General features: G+C 42.3%; 1 protein-coding gene across 1 annotated transcript in view; it reads right to left on the minus strand.

The window, feature by feature from the left end:
- ASIC2 (acid sensing ion channel subunit 2) overlaps window positions 1–24,101 on the minus strand; it is a 1,143,682-nt gene that overhangs the window by 774,730 nt on the left and 344,851 nt on the right. The window lies entirely within an intron of this gene.

The following is a 24,101-nucleotide window of genomic DNA, read 5'->3' on the forward strand; positions in this document are numbered from 1 at the left end:
GGGGCCTGGTAGGAGGTGATTGGATTATGGGGGTGGATTTTTCATTAGTGGTTTAGGACCAAACCCTTGATGCTATTCTCCTGATAGTGAGTTCTCACAAGATCTGGTTGTTTAAAAGTAAAACTCCAAACCATAAAAACCCTAGAAGAAAACGTAGGCAATACTATTCAGGACATAGGCATGGGCAAAGACTTCATGACAAAAACACCAAAAGCAATTGCAACAAAAGCCAAAATTGACAAATGGGATCTAATTAAACTAAAGAGCTTCTGCACAGCAAAAGAAACTATCATCAGAGTGAACAGGCAACCTACAGAATGGGACAAAATTTTGCAATCTACCCATCTGACAAAGGTCTAATTATCCAGAATTTAAAAGGAACATAAACATATTTACAAGAAAAAAAAACCCCATTAAAAGTGGGCAAAGAATATGAACAGACACTTCTCAAAAGAAGACATTTACATGGCCAACAAACATGAAAAAAAGCTCAACATCACTCATCATCAGAGAAATGCAAATCAAAACCACAATGAGATACCATCTCATGCCGACAGAATGGTGATTATTAAAAAGTCAGGAAAAAATAGATGCTGGAGAGATGGTGGAGAAATAGGAATGCTTTTACACTGTTGGTGGGAATGTAAATTAGTTCAACCAGAGTGGAAGACAGTATGGCGATTCCTCAAGGATCTAGAACCAGAAATACCATTTGACCCAGCAATCTCATTACTGGTTATATACCTTAAGGAATATAAATCGTTCTACTATAAAGACTCATGGACGCATATGTTCATTGCAACACTTTACAATAGCAAAGACTTGGAACCAACCCAAATACCCATCGACGATAGATTGGATAAAGACAATGTGGTACATATACACCATGGATTACTATGCAGCCATAAAAAGGAATGAGATCATGTCCTTTGCAGGGACATGGATGAAACCGGAAGCCATCATCCTCAGCAAACTAACACAGGAACAGAAAACCAAACATTGCATGTTCTCACTCATAAGTGGGAAGTGAACATTGAGAACGCATAGATGTAGAGAGGGGAACAACACACACCAGGGCCTGTTGGGGGGGTTGGGAATTGAGGGGAGAGAACTTAGATGATGGATCAATAGGTGCAGCAAACCACCATGACACACGTATACCTATGTAACAAACTTGCACATTCTGCACATGTATCCCATTTATTTTTTTGAAGAAATAAAGAAAAAAAGTGTGTAACACCTTCCCATCTCTGGCTGCTCTTGCAGTGTAAGACATGCCTGCCCCGTTCAGCTTCTGCCATGATTATAACCTTTCTGAGGCCTTCCCAGAAGTCAAACTGATGCCAGCATCATGCTTCCTGTACAGCCTGTGGAATGGTGAGCCAATTAAACCTATTTTCTTTATAAATTACCCAATCTCAGGTATTTCTTTATAGCATTGTGAGAATGGATTAATACAAGATATCTCACAGGAGAAGGAACATTTAATAATGATTGACATTTGCTGATTCCTCACTGTGGTCCAGACATCCTGATAAGCACTTTTATAAACATTGTTTTCCTCAATTCTCCCAACAACAAACTACAATCCCCATTTTATAGACAAGGAAACAGGCTTTATTTGTGAGATTTAGCAGAGAATCATGGTCACACACACACACACACACACACACACACACACACACACGTGCAGCATTTCAGCTGCTATGGGGATCCCTAACTTGTATGGGCTCCCCCTCTGAAGCCCTTGGAAAACCCTAGCACTGATGTTGTATATTTTGATAACATTTGCAAGCTATTTTACTGGCAATCAGTATTGTCTTTTTCCACCATGACTTCTCTTCTGTCATAATTTCCTTTGTGTGTGTGTGTATTGAGTGATTTGAGAAGTCTTGGCATCTGGCTAAGGTTGTGTTTTAGATACATTTGTTTTGGGTTGAATAGGATATGTTTATATGGATTTTGGTCACTTCTGTGCGTAGTTAAATGATTGCTGACTATTCTGGTGTAGGAGTGGCTTCCAGGAATACTCCCACCACCTAGCACTGCAGTTCACTGGGTGTGGTGATGTCAAGTCCAGGGCCCAGGTCATGGAGTTATATGAATAAGTCCTATAGCATCTAGTGCAGAATGACGTGGGTCATAGAGGAGAAACAAAGTGGGAAATGTACTGAGCCAGAAGCTCTGTATGGAAAATTCTTCCAATGATGAGACATGGAAAGTTGTATAATGAAGACATTTTTCATTGATGCCTAATCAAAATAGAAGTTTCCTTTTTTCAGCAACGTATAATACTAATGTGGGCATTAATATGTTTGTACTATACATTTATTTTACTTTTCAAATGGCATTTTGCAAGATAGAATTCATGAAAATTCTTGAATTTGTAAGACCTGGACACATAGCAGTATAATAAAAAATGGTTACATCTGTGCTTGATGCATCCCAACTCTCAATAATATATTTTTTTGACCAACTATGCTAGACAAAAGACTGAGTCATATTTCTATTCACTCTCTAGAAAATTGTTATCACAAAATTGTTTTCCTATGAAGAAGCAATCTCAGAATATGCCACCCAAAAACATAGAAAAAATGTATTATAGAGGTGGGTCAAGCAGCTAATTAATAAAAATATTCTTATTTTTCTAGATATTGTGTTTGCAGTATTGGTTAGCTATTTTAAAATTTGCAGCCTCTTGTGATATTTTCTCATTCTCACTTTCATTTACACTTAATTTTGTATATTTTATGAGCCAATTCCAGTCTGTTCATGATCTTTGCTTCCTGACTCCAGCCCTACAGACTTTAGCTTTCCTTAGGCAGCCCCCATAGTTGCATAAGCTGATTTATTATAATAAATCACACACATACACACACACACATCTCAGATATACATTACATCTATCATCTCTATCATCTCTTATTGGGTTCTGCTTCTCTGATTGAGCTCTGACTGATAAAGATGATGATGACGATCTAACAACAATAACAATATTAGAATCTCATACTGATTGAGAATTTATCATGTACCAGACATGATGCTTAACACTTTTCAGGCATTAGTCTTACTTACTCTGCTCAACTCCATTAGGCAGATGCTATATTATCCCTTTCTATGGGTGAAAAAAACAGAGGCACAGAGAGGCTGAGCAAGTGATCATATAGCCAGTCAGCCTCAGCCAGAATTGCAACCCATGTCTCCCTGGCCTGTGCCCTGGACTAGCCCAGGGTGTAGCATGAGTGACAGCACTGGATGGGACCCCTCATGCTACGTGAGGGAAACACAAGCAGATTCCACCCTTTGGCTGCTCAAAGTCAGGAGTCACGAACAATGAGATGGAAGAAGCCATGAGGATTTATGTCAAAGTCATAGTCACTCTGTGTGGAAGCCTTCTTGTGGGTGAGGTAGGCAGGCAAGAATCCTCATAAACAGAACAGAGAACATAGCATGTCAGAGAAGGAAGGCACTCTGAGATCGGCTAGTTCATCTGCCATGGGAAATATGAGCAAATTGAAGCCCTGCAGAGATATGGAGAAGCATCAGGGTGTAAATAGGCTATCAGGTTGGTAATGCCACATGGTATAGATTCCTTTTGCTGTAGAAGTCTCGCCATGACCCTGGACCCCATTGGGCAGGGGAACTGGATTCCAACAAGGTCTGCCCTCCAAAAAATTCAGTACAGTAGCCAAGGGTTAGTATGAAATTTGAGGGAGAGACAAATTTGACACATTAATATTTGACATTTCACAGGCAGGAAGTAGTGAGTCCCCAAACCTGTATATAACAACATAGTTACTGCAAGGCTGAGGAGGTGGCCTTTGGCTCCAGATGTGTTGTTGATTATGCCAATGGCAAAGAAAGCATGGTGGCTTTCATGCAAATAATGGTAATATTGAGAATGGAAATAATAATAGTACTAATAATCATTTATTTCTTTAAAGTGCTATAATAGTTCATAAATGGCTTTTTACATATTTTCATGTTTTTATTTATTTTATTTTATTTTAAGACAAGATCTCACTCCCTCACCCAGGCTGGAATGCAGTGGCACAATCTCAGCTCACTGCAGCCTCCAACTCCTGGGCTCAGGCGATCCTCCCACCTTAGCCTCCCGAGTAGCTGGGACTGTAGTTGTGCACCACCATGCCTGGCTCATTTTTTTGTATTTTCTGTAGAGACGGGGTCTCGTCACGTTGCCCAGGTTTGTCTCGAATTTCTGGGTTCAAGTGATCCACCTGCTTGGCCTCCCAAAGTGCTGTCATTACAGGCATGAGCCACCACGCCTGGCCTATTTACATGTTTAATAGGATGTTGTCTGTCACTACTATTATTCCCATTACACAAATGAGAGTATTGAGGTCCACTAAGCAATTGGTCCTAGGTAACCCAGTGGGTAGTGGTGGAGCTGGTCTTGGCCTTCAGGTCCCACTTAACTCCATTCTCCACTGTTCAGTGCCACCTGCTACTTCCAAGGGCTGGGAACATGTCTCTGGACAATGACCAGGCAAGGGTGATAGTCCCCCATTCCCTCCACTCCCGGCTTCTCTTTTTCTTTGTGAACAATAGAATATGTAGCTATTTCTCATTGGGGGTGGTGGAGGGGGGAGGTGAGGAGCAGCTGGAGAACCGGCTGACTTCCAGGCTGAGAGATGATGATGAGTTTGCACCAGTGGCGGTCAAAATACAGAGATTAATTACACTCAACCCAAGAAGTGGGTATTTATGGGCTGTCAGTCAGAAGAAAATATTTTGAAGCCAAAATTTGAAAACTGTCACAACTGGTGTTCTGAATTCGTAGATATCTTGGGTGCCTTGTAATGCCTTCTATTTTTCATTTAGAAAAAAGAAAATACCTGTCTTTGAAAATCACAGTGGCTTATGAAGTGGTCAGACTGAGTTTCAGTTTTGAGCTCTCTAGGTGCCGTGGGCCGAGTGGCTGGCATGTAACACATTCAGGCAGAGATGCTCCATGAGGAACTTCTTAAAATATGGTGCAGAGAACATAGGCTCAAGAGCTTGACTTGAGGTCCTCTCCTTTCCAGCCCTGAGACCTTTGGCAAATTCATCTCCATGCACTTGTTTTCTTCACCTGTAAAATGGGATCCAGATCAACACCCTCTCCAAATGGCCAAGGGGATTAAGTGAGATTCATTCATCCACTGCCCAGAACAGGACTTTGACTAATGTTTTAGTCCTACCTGTAGCATTTGAAGTAATTAACAAAATGCTTTTCAAACAGTACCTGTTAGATAACCCTGTGTGGAAAGAATGAATGAAAAATAAGGGGAGCCTTTAACTGAAATGTTGAGGCTGCTTCCCTAACATTGACCCTAAAATCTGTCTAGTCTAGCCTGTTTTACACTTTTTGCTGGGTAAGAAATATCTATAGTAATTCATAGGTTTTCTAATAAATAGCCATGCACATATAACATTTGTTTATAGGTGTAAAAATGACAAATACTTGCAGAGCACTTTCCAAAACTTAATCTGTGTTATTTTATCTTATCCTCACAATAATGCAATGAGCTGCAGATACTAGCACTGCTGCTGCTGCTACTTCTGCTAAACATTTGCACTAACTGGGGATCTGCTGTGGGCCAACCTCTGTACTTACTAAGTGCTGTGTGTACTTCATTTACGGTGAATTCCTCAGCGCAGGCTATCAACAGCATTTTTCAGAGCCAAGAATCAAACTCAAGCCAATCTGAGACCATAGCCATTGTTGCAAAGCAAGGGTTATTGTCTCATTATGTAGATGAGGAAACACACTAAAAGGAGTTGCAAGACTTGCTTCAAATGTCCTATCTTGTAGGAGGTAGGATCTGGAGCCAAATCCATGTATTCTTGCTTCAGATTGTAAGCTTCTACCATGTGCCTGTTTCTCAACCTGGTGATGGTGAAAAGAAGGACGTGGTCAGTCTGCTTTCATTGAATGCTTCTATCTACCAAGTCCGTGCCAAACAGCTAATAATATACTTCGTCATTTGATCTACCCAAACACAATGATATACATGTTCACAGAAAGATGCTTGAGGGTTCAGTCTCCGGAATGTTAATGGCTATTATCTCCAGGTGGTATGGTAGGATTTCAGACGATGATGGTGACGATGATTTTCTTCATCATTTTACATGTGGTTTTTGAAAACAGAGACAGTAAAACTTAAGAGCACACACTCTAACTGCCTTTTCTTGGAGGTGTTATTTATCCTGACTTTCTGGCTGAGGAAAATTAGGCTAAGAGAGAGACAGTGAATGGTCTATTCAAAATTAACTTGCAAAGCTCTAGCTCACCCATTCCACTGAGCTGCCTCCTAGGAGCCCCAATTTGCAGGACAAAAGTGCAGTGTCCTGAGTGACTTTATAGTCTCCTCCATGACAGAGGGCATGGTTTCTTGGGCCCTAAATTTGTACCTAGATTCACATGGTAGTGGGGCCTCAGGCTTTCCCACAAGGACAGGCTGAACAGGTCAAGGGGCTACTTCCTAAATGCTGGGCTGCAGCTGATCGGGTGTGTTGTGTGTTACAAAGGCCCCTCAGGGTGTAAAATGCCCTTCCTGACCTCACATTCTTCATCAGTCATTGCCTGGGAAGATGGAGGTGGTGATGCTGCAGAGAGGGCCTGGGAACCATTGGTGAATGGGTGAGCATGTAGTATGGATGAATTGTGGGTCAGGGGTGATGCACATCTCATTTCAAACACTGTAGTGTGGGGGTTGTAGAGAAGGAGGTATGTGACTACCTGTTAGACCTGTTCTTTTGTTTTGGAAATTTGATGCTATGTCCAAAATTCAAAAATTTAGATGACTCAGTAGAAAGTTCATGGTGAAAAATGACATCTTCCAGGTAATATTGGGTGAGCCCTCCGAGGCCATTAAATTCCAGCCTTGTCCACAGAGACAAACAAGCCTTCTATCACAGTCACCACCAGACCTGTTGATATAGCATATTTATTAAAACATAAAATCAGCTCATTGCCTTACAGCCTTTTATGATCGAGATCAAAATGACCAGCAGCAGGTAGCACAGTTTAGTAGAGAAAACACCAGGACTGGGGCCTGGTTCTAGTCCTTAGCTCTGTCTCTAACAAGCAGTATATCTTTGAATAAGACACTTGGGCCCTCTGAGACCCCTTATCTGTAAGATAAGAAAATGAGCCACATTATCTGAATGACCTATAAATACAATGGAATTCAATTCAAGTCTGCATTTATTAGGCATCCACTTGTGTCCAGCACTGTATCATGGTAATCAGAGCAAAGCTGGAGATTGTAGGAGCTTGATTCTGTGATACCACAATGAACTTCTCTACATTACAGAGAAACCATGAAGACTGTCTGTACTGAATGGTTTGTGCAATGCTCAGATGTTCCTTTAGGTCTGAGGCACCTATTCCCTCAGTTAAGGAAGTGTTCTCACCAACACTACTCATCCTACACCATGACTGGTTGATGCTAGGGTCCAAAGGCCCAGCCCTTCCCTTGGATTAGGAACATCTTTGAAAATCTCCTTCAACTCCAGAGTCCTGCATGGGAAAGTTGAGGTCTAACTGCATTGCAGTTTAACTTCTCTCTTTGCCCCATCCTTTTTGCCTTACTCCTTCACAGAAGCCCTTGTTCCTGAGAGCATGCCCCTCCAACCTTGCCATGTGCAAGTCTCTCAGAGTCTATTTCCTGGAGGAACTCAAACATTGACATGAAATCTCATGGCCTTTGGAAAAAAGGGGTCCCTCCAGTGTCAACCTTCCCCTACTCCCATCCCTTCTGTCCACTGAGCCCATATCCACTCAGAGTGGTTCTGAGCATACCTGTTGCCCATCCCAGTTCCTGGGATACAGACACAGAAATACCTTCTGTGGTTTCAGGGGAGTAATGTGATGATCCATGCATTGATAGATATCTCTCATAAATATGGCCCAGGGGCCCTGTTAATCTTTAGTTTTGAAAGGGAAACTAAGAAAGCCTAAGTTCTTGCTTTCTTGATATCAAAGACCTGCAATCAGTAGCACTTCAATGGGAGCAAACTCCCTGGGGCCAGAACTTATCCAGGTAGCTGGAAGACCAACTCTTCCCCTTGAAGTTAAACAACAACAAAAAAAGAGGTCTGAGTTGAGCACATGGCAGAAATTCATGAATACTTGTTGAATCTGGGAGAATTCCAGTAGATTATCAACACTGTTAAGATGAGGCTTTGTGAGAGGTTGACTGCATATGCCTTTACTGTAAATCTCCATGACTGTGAGGGCATTTTCCACTTAATAGGCCAAGTGCCACAATCACAGTGGCTTCTTCTTGCCCTTGGTTTAGAAAACCATAATTGTGTCGGAGGACAGACTCCCCCACCTTCCTTGTAGACCACCAATGTGTTTAGTACATACTTTGAGAAAATTCTCAGTTGAGTTCAAGGCTCTGTGCTCCCTGGGAAACATGGAATACACACCAGAGTGCCACAGAATGGAAAACACATAATGCTAAGCACATCTGGGTCAGATCCCAAATCTAGTATCTGCCAGTTTGTGTCCTTGAACAAGTCATTTTGCTCCTCAGGATTCTTGTTTGCTTATTGATAAAAATAAGGCTAATTCTTAACTTCCAAGGATTTTGTTGGAATTAGAAATAATATTACATGCTTAATAGCAGGTTGGATCTCAAAGCTAGTTATTATTAGTAGTAATAATAATACCTAGATAATACTGATATTACAAAGGAAATGAACATTAGCTAGCCTGTATAATGTAAAGGCTAAAACTGTAGTGAACACTGACTCTATATCATGGTCAACTTTAAATATTATGTAACAACAGACACTCACACATACATTTCCAAGATCCATCTGATACTTGAAAATGATGCTGCCAGAAACGCTCTTTCCCTTTAGTCATTGGCCTTCACTCATAGCCTGGCCTATGCTTGCCTTGAATGACAAGTATGAAGTGAGGGAAAAAGGTATTTCTGCCATACAGAGAAACTTGGGGCTGGTAGGAGATTAAGGGATGGGAACCCTGAGCTCCAGGCTTGGCTCACTCATGTACTAAAGGTGTGATCTTGTGCAAATCATTTAATCTATTGAGTCTCAGTTTCCTCCTTCATTTATTTATTCATTCAACCAACATTTATTATACATAGAGACTCAAGTATGGTGTCTCCCTTATGCAAGAACCATGCAGTAGGTGAGCTGGAAGTAAGCAAAGTGGAAATGCTGACATGTTCAGTGCATGTTATGGGGCATGCAGATCCAGGTGAGAGCCATGAGAGTGGAGCCTTTTCTCTCTCACTCAGTGCCATAGTTTCACCCCTGACGCAGTGCCCAGTACATCAATATGTTCAACAAACAAATGAAGATGAAATTCTGCTGCATAGATCAGGGAAAGTTTTAGAGTGAAGGTAACACTTGAGCTGGGTCTTACATGATGAGCAAGAAGAGGTTAGAAAGAGACAGTAGGAGTGGACCCTCCAGGCAGAAGTAGAGCTGTGCAAAGTCCTGGAGCTGAGACAAACCTCTGAGATGTCAGGGAAACGTCTGGCATGACTAGCGAGGAGTGTGCACAGGGAAGAATGAAATCCCTTGGCGGCACTGTGAGAATGAAATGAGTTAGTAATGCAGAATGGCTGGGGGAAATAGGTTAGGCGGTATTATTGCATCCTGCTACCTTGATGTATAAATGTTATATATTTATCTTATAATTGTTGTTGTCATTACTTTAGATTTCAGTCTAATTTTGTTGGTCCATGATTGATCATTAGTAAATAAATATGCATGTTGATGTGAAGCTTGGCTCTGTGTACAGCATTATTGATGGGTTCATTCACTGGTCCAACAGATATTTTATTCTGATAAATGTTAATTGCTGCTCAGAGTGCCTGACCAAGGTAATTTGCTGAAGCGTGAGTTTGCGCTTCCCTGGTTCTATTTGTCTGCAGACAGAAGGCTGTTTGGAGGACTGAAATGTGGGCATGTTCCGCGTTTGTACTCTTGGCCTTTGGGGACACTGCTCAGTGCTTGCAGCAGGGAAGGAGGTGGGGTTTCTCAATCACACCTGAGTGCTTCTTCCTACAACTTCAGCATCCTATGGCTTCCTCCTTCTCATCACTCACAGGACTAGCCCCCACACATAGGCTGGCTCAGCTGTACAGAGCCTGGCGAGAGAGGGATCATCGCAGTGTGCAAAGGAGGAAGTGGGGAGAGGTGATGGCAGAGGTGGCAGCTGAGGAGAGAGGGCTCTAAGGAGCAGATGGGAAACAGGATGGGAAAAGGAGATGCAGCTTTCATCAGTGCCGGAGGGAAGAAAATGAAGTGGGAAAAGGATGAGAGAAACTAAAGGACTAGCGAGATGAGGAGGTAAAGGGAGAGAAGTAGGTATTGGAACAAAAATTGAAAAGGGCAAGAAAGTTGGGGCAGGAGGAGGAAGTAGGAAAGGGAGACAAATGGGATGAGATAATTGTATAGAAAGATTCCTTAGAGCAGGTGTTTATGCAGAGATTCTGGGCTCAGGAAGCTTTGCTGCGTGGAAGGGTAGAGAATGTCTAAGACCACTAGCTTGCCAGCCTCCACTGATTCCCCAAAGTGAGGAGGTGTCAGGTGTCAAAATATTCAGTGGTGACGCATGAATTAGCAGAGATCAATTTGTGTTTAAGAAATCTTGATGGAACAGCCCAAAGCACAGATCAAAGCCATCAAGCGAATGAGACTGTTCATCCAATTAGCACAAATCCAGCACCTGGCTCTGTGGAGCGCAGCAGCTCTCAGGCTGGCATCTTGATGGGGAGTAGGGTTGGCTTTGCTTATTCACTTGTCTGTTTGTGTGTTCTGTGCCGATGGAGGAAATCATCTTCAGGAATGTGCTGCAGGCTGTGCTTAAATAAAGGTCATCACATCCCTGGTTTTTCAATAATCATGAGGCATTTAATGTGAAATGAGCTCATTCCCCAGCTCAATTTAGGCAGCATTTCCACTATCTAATGCAAATCAATGATGACTCTTTGGAAGGGATCAGGGCCACCAGCAATTTCTGCTGTTTGCAATGGTCAGGGGAAAATGCCAGCCCTGGGCTGGGGAGATTGAGCCTGGCACAGCTGTGGGCCCTGGAGACTACATTAGGTGGGTTCCTGAGCATACAAACCACAGCAATTGGGAGCTGGGACTGCGAAGTCTGTGTGGGACCCAGCCATCTCTGTGTCCCTGGAGCTGCATCCTTTCTTCCAGGCCTCACTTCTGGATTTCTGTCCAGAGGCCCCAGTGGGGTAGGAGTTCTGTCCTAAATAGAATTGACAAATGCCTTGACCTCCAACTTAGTTCTTTCTGCTCTTTCTTCTTTGTAAGTGGACTTGTTACCTTTACGCCTAGGGCTAGGTCAGAGCCCTTGTCTAACTCAGAGATATATTTGTGTAATCAGTTCCTTCCTTCCTTCCTTCCTTCTTCTCTTTCCTTCCTTCCCTTCCTTCCATCAATCCGTTTTTCCTCCCTGCCCCTTCCCTTTCTTCCTCTTTCCCTCCCTCCCTGCCTTCCATTTTCCCTCCCTCTCTGTTTCCTCTCTTTCTCTTTCTTTCTTTCTTTCTTTCTTCCTTTCTTTCTTTCTTTCTTTCTTTCTTTTCTTTCTTTCTTTCTTTCTTTCTTCTTTCTTTCTTTCTTTCTTTCTTTCTTTCTTTCTTTCTTTCTTTCTTTCCTTCTTTCTTTCTTTCTTACTTTCTTTCTTTCTTTCCTTCTTTCTTCTTTCTTCCACAAGCTTTCAAAACATTTTATTTCCTGCTTTTATTTTTCTCCAAAATGCCAACCTAGTGCAGTGATCCCAGTGTGCACCTGGGTAAGGTTTCTGGGATCAGGGCATATGAGATAATGTAGTTGCTTCTTGGACTAAATCCTAGTCCAAGAGGTAGGCTGACACCTCTGCTCTGTCATGAAGAAAACACAAGCCACATCTGCCAGTCTCAGGGTGACTATAGCTACCATATATTGTTGTATAGGTTGTGTAACGAACAACCCAAGAGGGTACTCTTTACATAGATGATAATGTGAATGGTGCTCCCTAAGGTTGGGCAGTATACAACCTGCACGGCCAACCACTGCAGACTATCTGGGTCCCCACAAATACTGCGGCCATGCTTTGGTTGTACTAAGTACAAAACAGGGCATTGAATAAACAGTTTCTGTTCTAAAATTGGCTCTCACTAGGTGCTTCCTTATTATCACCATGCAAATGTCCTGGACTCTGGATCCTGTATATAGAGACCTTTGAGACCTCCTGCACTTTATGACCTTAGCTGGTCCTCCATGCTCTATTACCTGCTTGACCTGGACATACCCCATTGCCTCTTCAGCTGCATCTGCATCTCAGGCCTTGACCTGTATGTTTGTGGTTATAATTCCTGGTCAGACCCATCCAAGCTCTTAGACCAGGACAATCTGTCAGCTTTGCCAGTCTGCTTCCGATTTCCTAAAGAAGTTCAACTTGGAATGCACACCCCCTTTTGCACAGGAATTGTGGGCATCAGATCTTGCTCATACAATATCAGTCACACCTTCAGGAGGGCAGAGTTAGGTTTGGGACCAAGACCTATATGACTCCAGAGTTTCTGTGCTTTTACCTTGCATACACACCTGCCTTTGGTGTGTACGAATTCCCAAAAAAGTTGCACAAAGAACAGACACTGATACCCTACAGAAGAGATGAGAAATAACCCTTTCTAACTGCTTTATCCACTTACGGAGGAGCAGATCCATTAGAAAGTCATTTCTCCCACTTCCCTGACAATCATAATAATCAAGGGGTAGTTGTTAAACATGTAAATTCCAGGGACCACTCACACCCACAGTATCAGAATTTCTAGGGGGATGATCCTGGGAAATGGTGTCAATGGTGTCTTTAAAACACATTGCAGGAGATTCCTATTATTATAAAAATGTAGGAAACTTTGGACACAGTATTATAGTGATAGCAATAGATGACCTCATGCTAACAGCCATTCCAAGTGTTTTCCATGCAGTCAATTTTTTATCCTGCTATCAACTTTTCAAGGTGGGTATTATTATCATTACCACTGTATGGATGGAGAAGGGATGCACAGAGACATTAAGAAACTTTCTTAATGTCACACAGCTAATCTAGTCTGACTCTAGAATCAGTCTTTTAACTACCATGCTGTGCTACCTCTCAAAGAAAAGGGTTTATTCTGTCAACTTCATGCACAGGAAGAACAAGCAGTCAGTTGAGTGCTGAGATTAAAAACCCTCTAGGAAAGGAGATTTGCAATACACTAGAAGTGGCTTTGAAGTCCACTTCGTCAGAAAGCTTTGGTGTCCATCAAAATGTGGCCTGGAGAACTAGACTTGAAGCTGGTATCATTCACTCACACCTCTGGTGAAGAAAGGAATTAGTGATAGATTTTCTTGGGAGAAAGGAGAGGAAGGAAAATGAGGGTTCATCGTGTGATGGTAGGAGGAAGAAGTCGCCATCAAGTGAGAAAACATCAGACATTTTGCAGGAGAGCCCGCTGGGACTAAAATGGATCACCAGGCTTTCGTTTTTCACCTCACAAACTCTACCCACACACCTTTGCTCTCTGCTGCTCCAGCTTCTAAATACCCTGCTTGATTGTCTGATCTGACATGACCTGTCCTTCCTCCCAATCCCTGTTTTGACACTTTTTATGACATTTATGGTTTGGGTGGAGTCAGGGAGGTATGGATTCAAAGTCTGCCACTTGATATCTGAGGGACCCTGGGTGAGTTACCATCTTTAAGCTTCAATCCTCTTCAATAAAACAGGGGTAAGAAACATATAGTATACATCAAAATGCTGATGTAAGGATGAAAGGAAATAATACATTCGAGACGCTTAGCATAGTGTCTCAACACGTTAATCACCCAGTGAACAGTTGCTCTTCTGTTGTTATTAGCCAGAACCTTCAATGTCCAATATGATAGCACCTGGTTAAATATGACTGTTTGAACTTAAACTTAGATTGATTAAAAGTAAGTAAAATCTAAAATCTAGTTCCTCATTTACAGGGCTCAATACCCACAGGTGCCTAGTGCCTACTGTACCGGACAGCACAGACAGAAAGCAACTTGTTTAACTTTCCATCATCGCAGAGTGTAGTTGGCTAGAACTGGACGAGAGGGAGGTATGGACCACATATTATTCAAACTATTCTCTAAAATATTGTTTCTCTCAGGCTAATTGGTAAAAATTGGACAGCTGTTAGTTCCCTGGGAAAGACATGGAGAGAAGGTGTTTTGATTTTCTAGATAAGTCAGACGTATATAGTCATGCACTGTATAACAATGTTTTGGTCAATGACAGACTGCATATACGACAGTGGTCCCACAAGGCTGCAATGCCATATTTTTATTGTACCTTTTCTATGTTTAGATATGTTTTGATACACAAATACTTACCATTGTGCTACAGTTGCCTAGTGTATTCAGTACAGTAACATGCTGTATAGGTTTGTAGCCTAGAAACATAGGCTGTCCCATATAGCCTAGGTGCGTAGTGAGCTGTACCACCTAAGTTTGTGTCAGTAGACTCTATGATAATTACACAGTGATGAAATCGCCCAATGATACATTTCTCAGAACGTATTTCTGTTGTTAAGCGATGTGTGGCTGTATTTTAAAAACACAAAGTAAAAGGATAGTGAAATTTGAGAACACAGAAAAGGTTGACCTTCCGAATTGCCTGCCACTCCCTGCCCACGTGGAAGGTGGACCGAGAGTCATCTCCAGGCAGTGTGTGGAACCTGCTTTGAAAATAGTCCTGAACCTGCTCCAACAACAGAAATACATAACATAGCAACTCCCAGTCTGCCCTGAATTGTTTCTCAATATTTGCTTTCTTCCTGGTTTTAAACAGTAACTGCTTCAGTCAGGAGAATCCTCTAGAAACAGAAGGAGGAACAAAAAGAACAGTTAAATGAAAACTTTGTTTTTGTCTGCCGTTGGCCTAGAGGCCAGGGACATGCTGTTACTGACTCTTCAGCTTCTCTGCTCATTGCTCCTGCCAACCTTCCCTCTTGTGTGCTCTTTCGTGGGGTTGAGGAGTGAAGGGCAATTCCACAATGACTCTCTAGCCCTTTGAAGAAACTCCAGCAATGAACTAGAGCCACATTAATAGCCTCGTGTTTCTTCCTTGATGTTGTTCTTAAGTGCGCATAGCCAAAGTAAGAGATCTTGAGTGTAAGCATTGCCTTTGGATAGCTGGTAAACCTCTCTCTTTTCTCAGCTCCAAAGTCAGTCTTTTGTTCTGAGTAATGAGGAAATGCTGAAGGAAAGGATCCATGTCTGAAGGTCTAGAGTGCTTCAACTTGGGGTTAAGTGTGGAACTCTGAAGAAGTGGGTTGGTAATTGCATGAGGGAATTTCCAAGCACTCTACATCTCTGACCACTATTGTTAGGTGAAAACATCAGGGGTAAAGAGAGGAAATCTGTGTGACTAAAAATTACACATAAACATGGTTCTTCACTTCTATAAATTTCTAACTTTAAATGCATAAGGAAGGCCAGGCAGTTTTCCACTGTGTATGTGTATATGTGTGGGTGGGTGGGGGGTTTGGTTGGGGGAGAGATTTGCATACATGTGGATTTCCACATCCCAGATTTTCTTAAGTGCACTTTCAGTATAATAAATGGCAAGAGAACCCTAAGAGTGTACCCCAGGGCATGGCAGTTCACTATGGTTGATGCGGTGGATACCTAATGTTTACTCCTAGAAGAAGAAATAATTGGAATAAGGAAATGAAAGCCCTGGTTAAGACCAACACATTTCCCTTTTCTTTTTTTTTTTTTTTTTTTTTTTAACAACAAGGCTTTGGCTTCATGTTTATCACAAGAACGGGAATCTGTTTCCTCTGAAAGAAAATTCATTTCACCCACAAAACCCATATTTTCCCGCCTGCCTTCTATTCAGACAAGCCCCACAAGATAAATGTGTTCTCCAATTCACCAGCGGTAAGGAAGATAAAGGCTTGGAAACTCCAGAAGTACATTCTCCTAATTATTGTAACTGGCATTTTTTTTTATGTGGCAAACCATCTATTCAGATTAAACTACAGCCCAGGAGCCTTTTATGTGAAGATTGCCAGTGTGGGGTGGAAAGGTAGCTCAATTGTGTGATTTCCTCAGCTTTAATAGCCCAAAGAGAAGCATTGAAAGAGATCCAAGTATTTGTGTGCAAGTGATTTTTGTTAGGAAAGATCTAAAAATACCCACAGCAGCCTGTCTCCATGTTCTCTCCCTTTGAAGTCAGCTTGAGACCTTTCCCTATTTGAACACCCAGAAATATGTGTCAGAAGTCACCTGTTATTACCCTTATGTCCTGGTTTCCCCTAAGATCTAAATAAACAAATGAGTCCAGCAAATGTGTCGGGGAGCTCCAGCTCTGCTTCACATTAGGAATATATTTACCCATTTAATAACTGTTATTTATCCAGACATTTAATTGCACCATTGTAAACACACAGGGAAACCTTTGGGGGAAGGAAGCTCAGTTGCTGAGATGAGACAGATATTTAAAACTCTGCTCCTGTAGCTGAGCCTTCTCTCAGAGTCAGTCTTTGGGACTGGGATTGGTGTGAGTTGTTTTTATGTGGTGGGGACTCACCAAGAAGCCTCCACCCACTGGGCATGCTGCTTTTCAGAAAGTACCCAGTATATCGATGATGAAGGAATGAGTGAATGAGTGCAGGAAAAAAGAACCAGAGGTTAAAGCAAAAGTCTCCGCCCATTACCAAGAGCTTTGCTGGTGCTGGGTGCTGGGTGGAGCCCAAGCTTTTAGTGTGCCCATCATTCTATGGCCACAATGACTCTGCACCTTTGAACGATGCCTTTCATAGCAGCAGATACCCTAAAGAGGGAGAGCTCTGGGCATCACAGAAGCATTCTTGAATCTCTGAGTACATTCTCAGCTTTGTTCCTCATTCTTCGATCTGTTCCTCCTTTATCAGTCTCCTGGATTTGGGATCTTCTGTTTTTAGGTGTATATTAATCCTTTAGACCTGACAACAGATTAAATAACATTCACTTAGCTCTCCATACTTCCTCTCAGAAATAATTTTGCATTTGTTTTTGATCTCTCTTTTTTTTTTTAATTAACTCAGGTCATAAATGCATCTGATTAGGCTCTGTATCCTGGGATCCAACTATGAGTTGATTCACTTGGTCCAAGCCAGCCTGGTATCCTTAAAACTCCCTGCTCATCCCTAGCTAAGGTTCCAGACGCCCCATAAAAAGCAGTTGCCATTATGTTCCAGAACTTCTGGAATGATCTAGAAGCAACACCCCTCGACCTTTTCTTTCTTTCTGATCCCTCTTGCTGTGGTCTGATGCTTCTGAATTCTTCCAAGGGTCATCTTATTTTTGAATTCTTCCTCTTCGTCTAACTCTTTCAGATTGATGTTACAGTTGGCCTGTGTTTCTGGACTGTGATTTTGACTTTGCCCAGGAACCTCTGCAGATGGTAGGTGAGTTCTGCCATGTCTGTTGATTGACCCAGGTTCTCAGAATCTTACTCTTGGAAAATATCCCAGGTGAAACCCAAAGAAGGGGGAGTTTGGTCAATGGTTTCATGTTTCACCCTTTTGAGAGTAATAGGACAGCCTAATTTTCTTAGCAAAGGATCTCACCTGCCACTCCTGACACCAGCCAGTCTCCAAGAGCCTCACTTCTTCCTCATAGGGAAATCTTTCTTTGAGATCCCAGAAAATGTGAGGAGTCTTAGAATCCAATGAGTGTCAAAGTTGCTGACTGATAGATGGACTGACTGACTGGTATTCCTCTTCCAGTGGTCTCCCAGCTCTTATATGGTGAGTAAAAGACTTAGCATCACTGAATCATGGAATATTAAATATACTCTGCCACCAAATATGTTGGAGAATCCTGTTTCTGACGTTTCCCTTTCAGAAGGTCACGATGGACATTAGCATATAAAAATCCTCATAAGGTCTGTAGTGATGAAACCTGCCTTACTTTCCTCACCCAGGGCTTCCATGCTTATTTGCCCACCAAAGCCATTTTTCAGAATGTTACACACACAACATCCCTTGGAGCTAATATTACATGGAACACGCTTTGCAAAAATATTGATCTTGCTTAAAGCCCCTGCTCCATCTTGCACATCCATATACACACACTTGCACACATATTATAGTTCAAGAGAACAGGCATTATTCTCTATTTAAACACTCTTCTTCACAGAGCCGCAGTCCTCCCACAAATGCACAGCCCTTCTCACTCACTCATTCCCATGGGGGCCACCCGCAGGGGCTCCCATGTCCCAGCGAAACACCGGAAAGCACCCACATTCATACTCAAGAATTTATCACACAAACCAGGGATAAGTGAATTTTTTCTGTAAATAATTAAGCGGCAATGATTTCAGGCTCTGCCACCATGCAGTCTATGTTGCAAATACTCAACTCTGCCTTTGTGGAACAAAAACAGACACAGACAGTACCCAAACCAATAAATGTGGCTCTGTTCCAAGAAAAGTTTATGAATACTTAAATTTGAATTTTGTATAATTTTCACATTGCCACAAAATATCATTCTTCTTTTGATTGGTTTTCAACCATTTAAGAATGTAAAGGACATTATTAACTAACAAGCCATGCAAAGATAAGCAGCAGGCTGGCTTGGCCTGTGGGCCATAGTTTGCTTACTTGTGCTTTTTGCCATCAGTAGGTTCCTGAAAACAGCATGAGCTTCTGTCCGTAGAATCCTATTGTAACATGTTAAGGAGCCTGCTTCTTTAAAGGATATTGCAACGAATTATTTAGCAATGCAAATCTCTTAATTCCTAAACCAGGTGTCAAGCACGGGCCTTCTGAATATTTATTGCTCTCCTCTGCCATCTTTAGAGCACTTTTGCACTGAAGGCAGGGTTTTCTGGTTTCCCTGGGTCCTGAATGGGGTCTCACACCAAAAGAGCTTCCTCTTTTGCCAACACTAGCCCCCACCAAGCTGTCTGGCTGTCAGGGACTTGGCACCTGACCTGGTCTCAGTTGGAAGCTTTCAGTCCACAGTTCTGTGCAAGAAGTTGTGTGTTTTAACAACAGTGATAGCATCTGCAGAACAACCAAGATGTCAGTGTCATGTTTGCATGCTGTCACCACCATGATAAACATTGCATCCCAAATCCAAGAACTGATTTGATTTACTGACAAGGCAGCCCTCTCCACCTGAAAGACAAAGCTGGCTGCCTTGCCCACACATCTGCTTTGTCATTAGCTCGGAGGCAGAAGGGAACCACAGCCAGCCAAGGCAGTCACAGACAGCATCTTCCCCTACACTCCAGGAAAATGCAGAAATGCTCAATCAGCCAGTCATCTCCCCTACAGGACACCAGGCACCCCACTTGAGAGGTACTTCCCACTGATGTGACTAAATCAGTGGTCGTTTGGGTAAGGAGCAAACACTGGTTTGGTGTGCTCTTCAAGGAGGTTCTGGGTACTGAGCAGGTGATAGGATTTAGAAGTGTATTCTGTATGGCTATAGGTAGTGGCTTCTGGTCACTGAATCTCTCATTAATAATTCACTCTGCTATTTGACAATATTTGTTGGGTACCTGTCTTATGGCAGGCCCCATGCTGGGTGCTGCTAATGCAGAGGTGGGTAAACACCACAATTGCCACTCTCTTGGAGCTCAGCAAGAAAGGCAAAGACATAATCAATCAATTACAACACAAAACACCTGGAGAAAGTGCAGGCCTACCAGAGGGAGTAATTCAGGGTTCAGTCTCTCTCTCTCTCTTTCTTTCCCTCTTTACTCTCTTTCTTCTCTTGTCTCTCCCCTTTTCCTAAACTACCAAAAATTACTTCTAACTAGGTTCCCCACTTCTAATCTTGGGCCCCTCCTCATCCTCTTCACACATATCCAATCACTGAAACAACCCTATACTTTTAAACCTGCAAATCCAATCATGTAACTCCCTCACTCAAACTCCTTCCATGGGTGGAATTAATTTGCATTTGTCTGATGACATATGATGTGGAGCATATTTTTATATGCTTATTTTCCATCTGTACATTTTCTCTGGTGAGATATTTGTTAAAGTCTTTGGCCCTTTTAAAAATATGTTGTTTTATTATTGACTTTAAGAGTTATTTGTATATTTTGGATAACAGTCCTTTATCAGACACATCTTTTGCAAATATTTTTCTCCCAGTATGTGGCTTCTCATTTTATTCTGTTGATGGTGTCTTTCACAGAGCAGAAATTTTTAATTCAAATGAAGTTCAGTTATCAACTTTTTCTTTCATTGATTGTGCCTTTGGTGTTACATATAAAAAGTCATTGCCAAGTCCTAGGCCATCTATATTTTCCTTCTAGGAGTTTATAATTCTGTGCTTTACTTTTAGGCGCGTGATCCATTTTGAGTTAAATGGATCTGAGTTTGTGAACAGTGTGAGGTCTGTGTCTACATTCTTTTTTTGCATGCGAATGCTGTCCCAGCACCATTTTTTGAAAAGATGGTCTTTTCTCCATTATATTACTGTTGCTCCTTTGTCCAAGATCAGTTAAGTATATTTACGTGAGTCCCTTCCTGGACTCTCTATTCTTTCCATTGATCCATTTGTCTATTCTTTTGCCAATACCACATGTGTCTTAATCACTGTAGCTTCATAGTAAGCCTTGAAGTTGGGTAGTGTCAGTCTTCCAACATTGTTCTTCTCCCTCAATATTGTGTTGGCTGTTCTGGGTCTGTTGCATCTCCAGATAGACTTTAGAGTCAGTTTGCCAATATCCACAGAATAACTTAATGGGATTTTGATTGGAATTGCACTGAATCTATGGATCAAGTTGGGAGATGCCCATCTCTTCATCAATTCCTACTTTCTGTGTGGTGATGATCACATCATTAACCTCTCTGAGTCTCTGTTTTCTCATCTGTAGAATGTAGATGATAATACTTGATACCCTCTACTAAGGCATCTCCCTCAAAGTGAGGAGCATTAAAGAGATGACATACAGATGGAGGTTTACACAAGCTTGCTTGGTACATGACAAATAGTCAGTATTAGGGCCACTTTCCCTGACCCCTATTCTATCTTCTCCTGTTTTCCCTGCTTTATGATGTCCCCATCTGGAAATCCAGGACTGCTCAGATTGTGAATCAGTATTTTAAAAAATAATTTTAATTTTTCAGAATTATTCATTCATGACTTTCTGAGTCATTCTTGCCTGGCACCTCAGTCATCCTCTTCCACTCTGTCCAGTGAGGTGAAAAGTTACGTTCTCTGCTACTCTGGGATCAGTGGGTTCATGGCAGCCAAGGTCTTGAACTTCTCTTTTAATTAGACTTGGGACTGAGAGCCTCTCAGAGTGACCTCTGGATCCACATCGCAGCCTCAGTGGCACTGTCCTCTGTGCACTGGCTTTGTCTGACTCATTGATCTGCCTCTAGGCCCAGTGTTGACTATTGAAGGTCACTGGGGCCTTCATCTCAACTGGCGTTCCAGCCCTACTTCATGTCTGAACCCCAGTGGAGTGTGTGTGTTTAGAGCTGGGTTAACTGAGAGACGAAAGAGGTAGTGGTTGCTTCAGGACCTGCCTGGACTGGGAAATCTCCCACAGTGTGGATTCATAGGCATTTCATGCACACACCTCTGAGTGCCAATACCTGAAACTTGCCCTGAGATTGGATGATTGATTGTGCCTTTCTTAGAATCAGCTTTTGATAAAGGGAAAGAAGGGTAAGAAGACATGGATATGAAAATGGAATGAGCACAAGGTTTCTCTTCTTCCTTTTCTTGTGTGTAAACTGATACACGTATCCTTAGTGCACATGGAACTCGTGAGTTGATGAGAGTGCATGGTGTACCCAAATACTGAGGACTGACATCCCTCAGAGGTCTATGTTGGGAACCCAGCCCGAAAACTTATAAATGGTGTGTTTATCTTGAGGAAGAAATGGCAGCTGCCACAACACAGCCAGGAATGTGGTCTTAGAATTTTATTTAGTGCATGAATGCTAACAAGTTGCTATATGTGCTGTCTCTCTCCATCCTGCAAAGTTGAAGGCATCACTAATAGATCACAGCACATATTCCTGCTGAACCTGAACTAGGTCTTGGAATTCTTTTCAATAAAGCAAGGACTATTCTCATATCCACCTGGAAACTGAGCTATCTCCACCTGCTTGAATTCCCACCATTTTGAATTCCCACCTGCTGATCTCATACTTTCAGGGCCCTGAGTAAGAAGAAACTTTAGATTTAACTTCCTTGAACCTAGACATTAATCTGCTGCTTTTTAATTCTTACAGGTAAACTAAATATATGCATTTGAAAAAAAATCACTTGTACAATCCAGGTTGTGAAATATTGTTTAAACTCATTCATAGGTTAGTAGGAGGCAGTTTATGGGGCAAAGAGTTGAGAAAGCTCTTGGCCATGGGTCAAACAGTATTAGGGTATTTCTGGCAGGGAAATGTCTTAACGTTTTAGGGAATTAGGAAGAGGCTGTTGTGGGAAGGGCAAGAGCAATTGTATCAGTCTATTCTATTGGTTTCCAAACTTTGCTGCACATTAGAATCATTTGGGGATCTTTTAAAACTCTGATGCTCAGGTCATACCCAACACTAATTATGTCAGAATGTGTGGGGGTGGGCATCAGGAGGCATCAGTAATTCTTGTTCTTAAAGAACCCAGGTAATGATTCCCATACAGAGCCAAGTGCAGGAACACTGGTCTGGATGCAATGCTGCTTTATATCTGCCCATCTCCCTTCTCTCCAAAGGTGTCTTCAGAATTCATTTGATTCTCACAATAGCTCCATGAGGCCATCTGAGCAGGTGTCACTGCCCCATGGGACAAATAGGGGAACTCAGCCACAGAGAAGTGAAATGGTTTGTCTAAGTTCAAATTATGTGAGTTAGTGGTGAGTCCTGGGATCTTTTCATGTCAGGAGATGCCGCTACATTGTTATTTATAGAAAAAAGGAAAGATGAATGTTTTTATGTAAAAAAGATTATCAGGGTATGCACTAAAGGATTAGCATGTGGCACCCTTAATAGGTCCCATTCTGGAAGGATATTTTCCAAAACGAACTATGCACACACACATACACACACACACACACACACACGTGCATTCACACACACACTCCAGTATAACAACTAATGATAGAAAAAAGGGAAACAAAAATCAGTGACTCTCCTATCCTGGCCTCAGAACAGCCGGGGAAGCAGAAATCCCTTTGCAGGGTGGCTTCCATGGCAGAAGGTATGTAAACGGCATGGGCCTTTATGAAAGGGGAGAGATTCACAGGACACTATTTTTCAGGCTGAATCACAAGGTTCAGTAGCTCACATAATGAGATTATTTCAACCTGCAGGTCAATTGGAAAAGCAATTACAGATCATTAAAGCACATTGCCCAGCTCTTCAGCCCTGCCTGCTCCAGCCCTCCTTCTCTGTGTCTATCACTTCTGGCCCTGCTCTTCATTTCACATTTGGAGCCAGAGAGGAGAAACAGGGGACTTGATCCAGGCAGACTGCAAAGGCTCCCACGGGAGAAGATCAGACAAAAATTCCCTTCTTGCTCAGTGATCGTTTGAACAAACAACTCGTCTTAGAGAGGAAAGGATTCACGCTCATATCCCTCCATGTGCTGGACACCATGTGAAACATTTTGGGTTTTTTTGCAGGCATTGTTTCATTTAATCTCCCTTAGCTAATATTAAGCCCCTATTAGTCACCAGCCCATGAATGCCGAGGACTTGCTACTCGTGATGTTTCTTCCCAGTCTGCACATTTGCAGTCATCCCTAAGAGATCACAGCACACATTCCTGCTGAGCCTGAATTAGGTCTTGGAATTCTCAACCAACCAGGGAGGGTCTGCTCTTACATTGGCTTTAGAACCTGAGACATAGTCTACTGAACTCACTCTCAGGGGTTTTTCCATTTTGTTAATGAAGTAGCTGAGGCTGGCAGAGGGGCAGCAACTTGCCTAAGGTTTCCCTGCTGGGAAGTGGTACAGCTGGAACTCAAACCCAGACCACAACTCCAAAGTTAATCACAGTACTGGCATTCCTATCGGTCATGTTTGCTCTGACCTCCATGCTCCTGCACATGCAGAACTTCTCCCAGCTTGGCTAATTCATATT

Source organism: Homo sapiens, chromosome 17 (assembly GCF_000001405.40).
Source record: "Homo sapiens chromosome 17, GRCh38.p14 Primary Assembly".
NCBI lineage: Eukaryota > Metazoa > Chordata > Mammalia > Primates > Hominidae > Homo > Homo sapiens.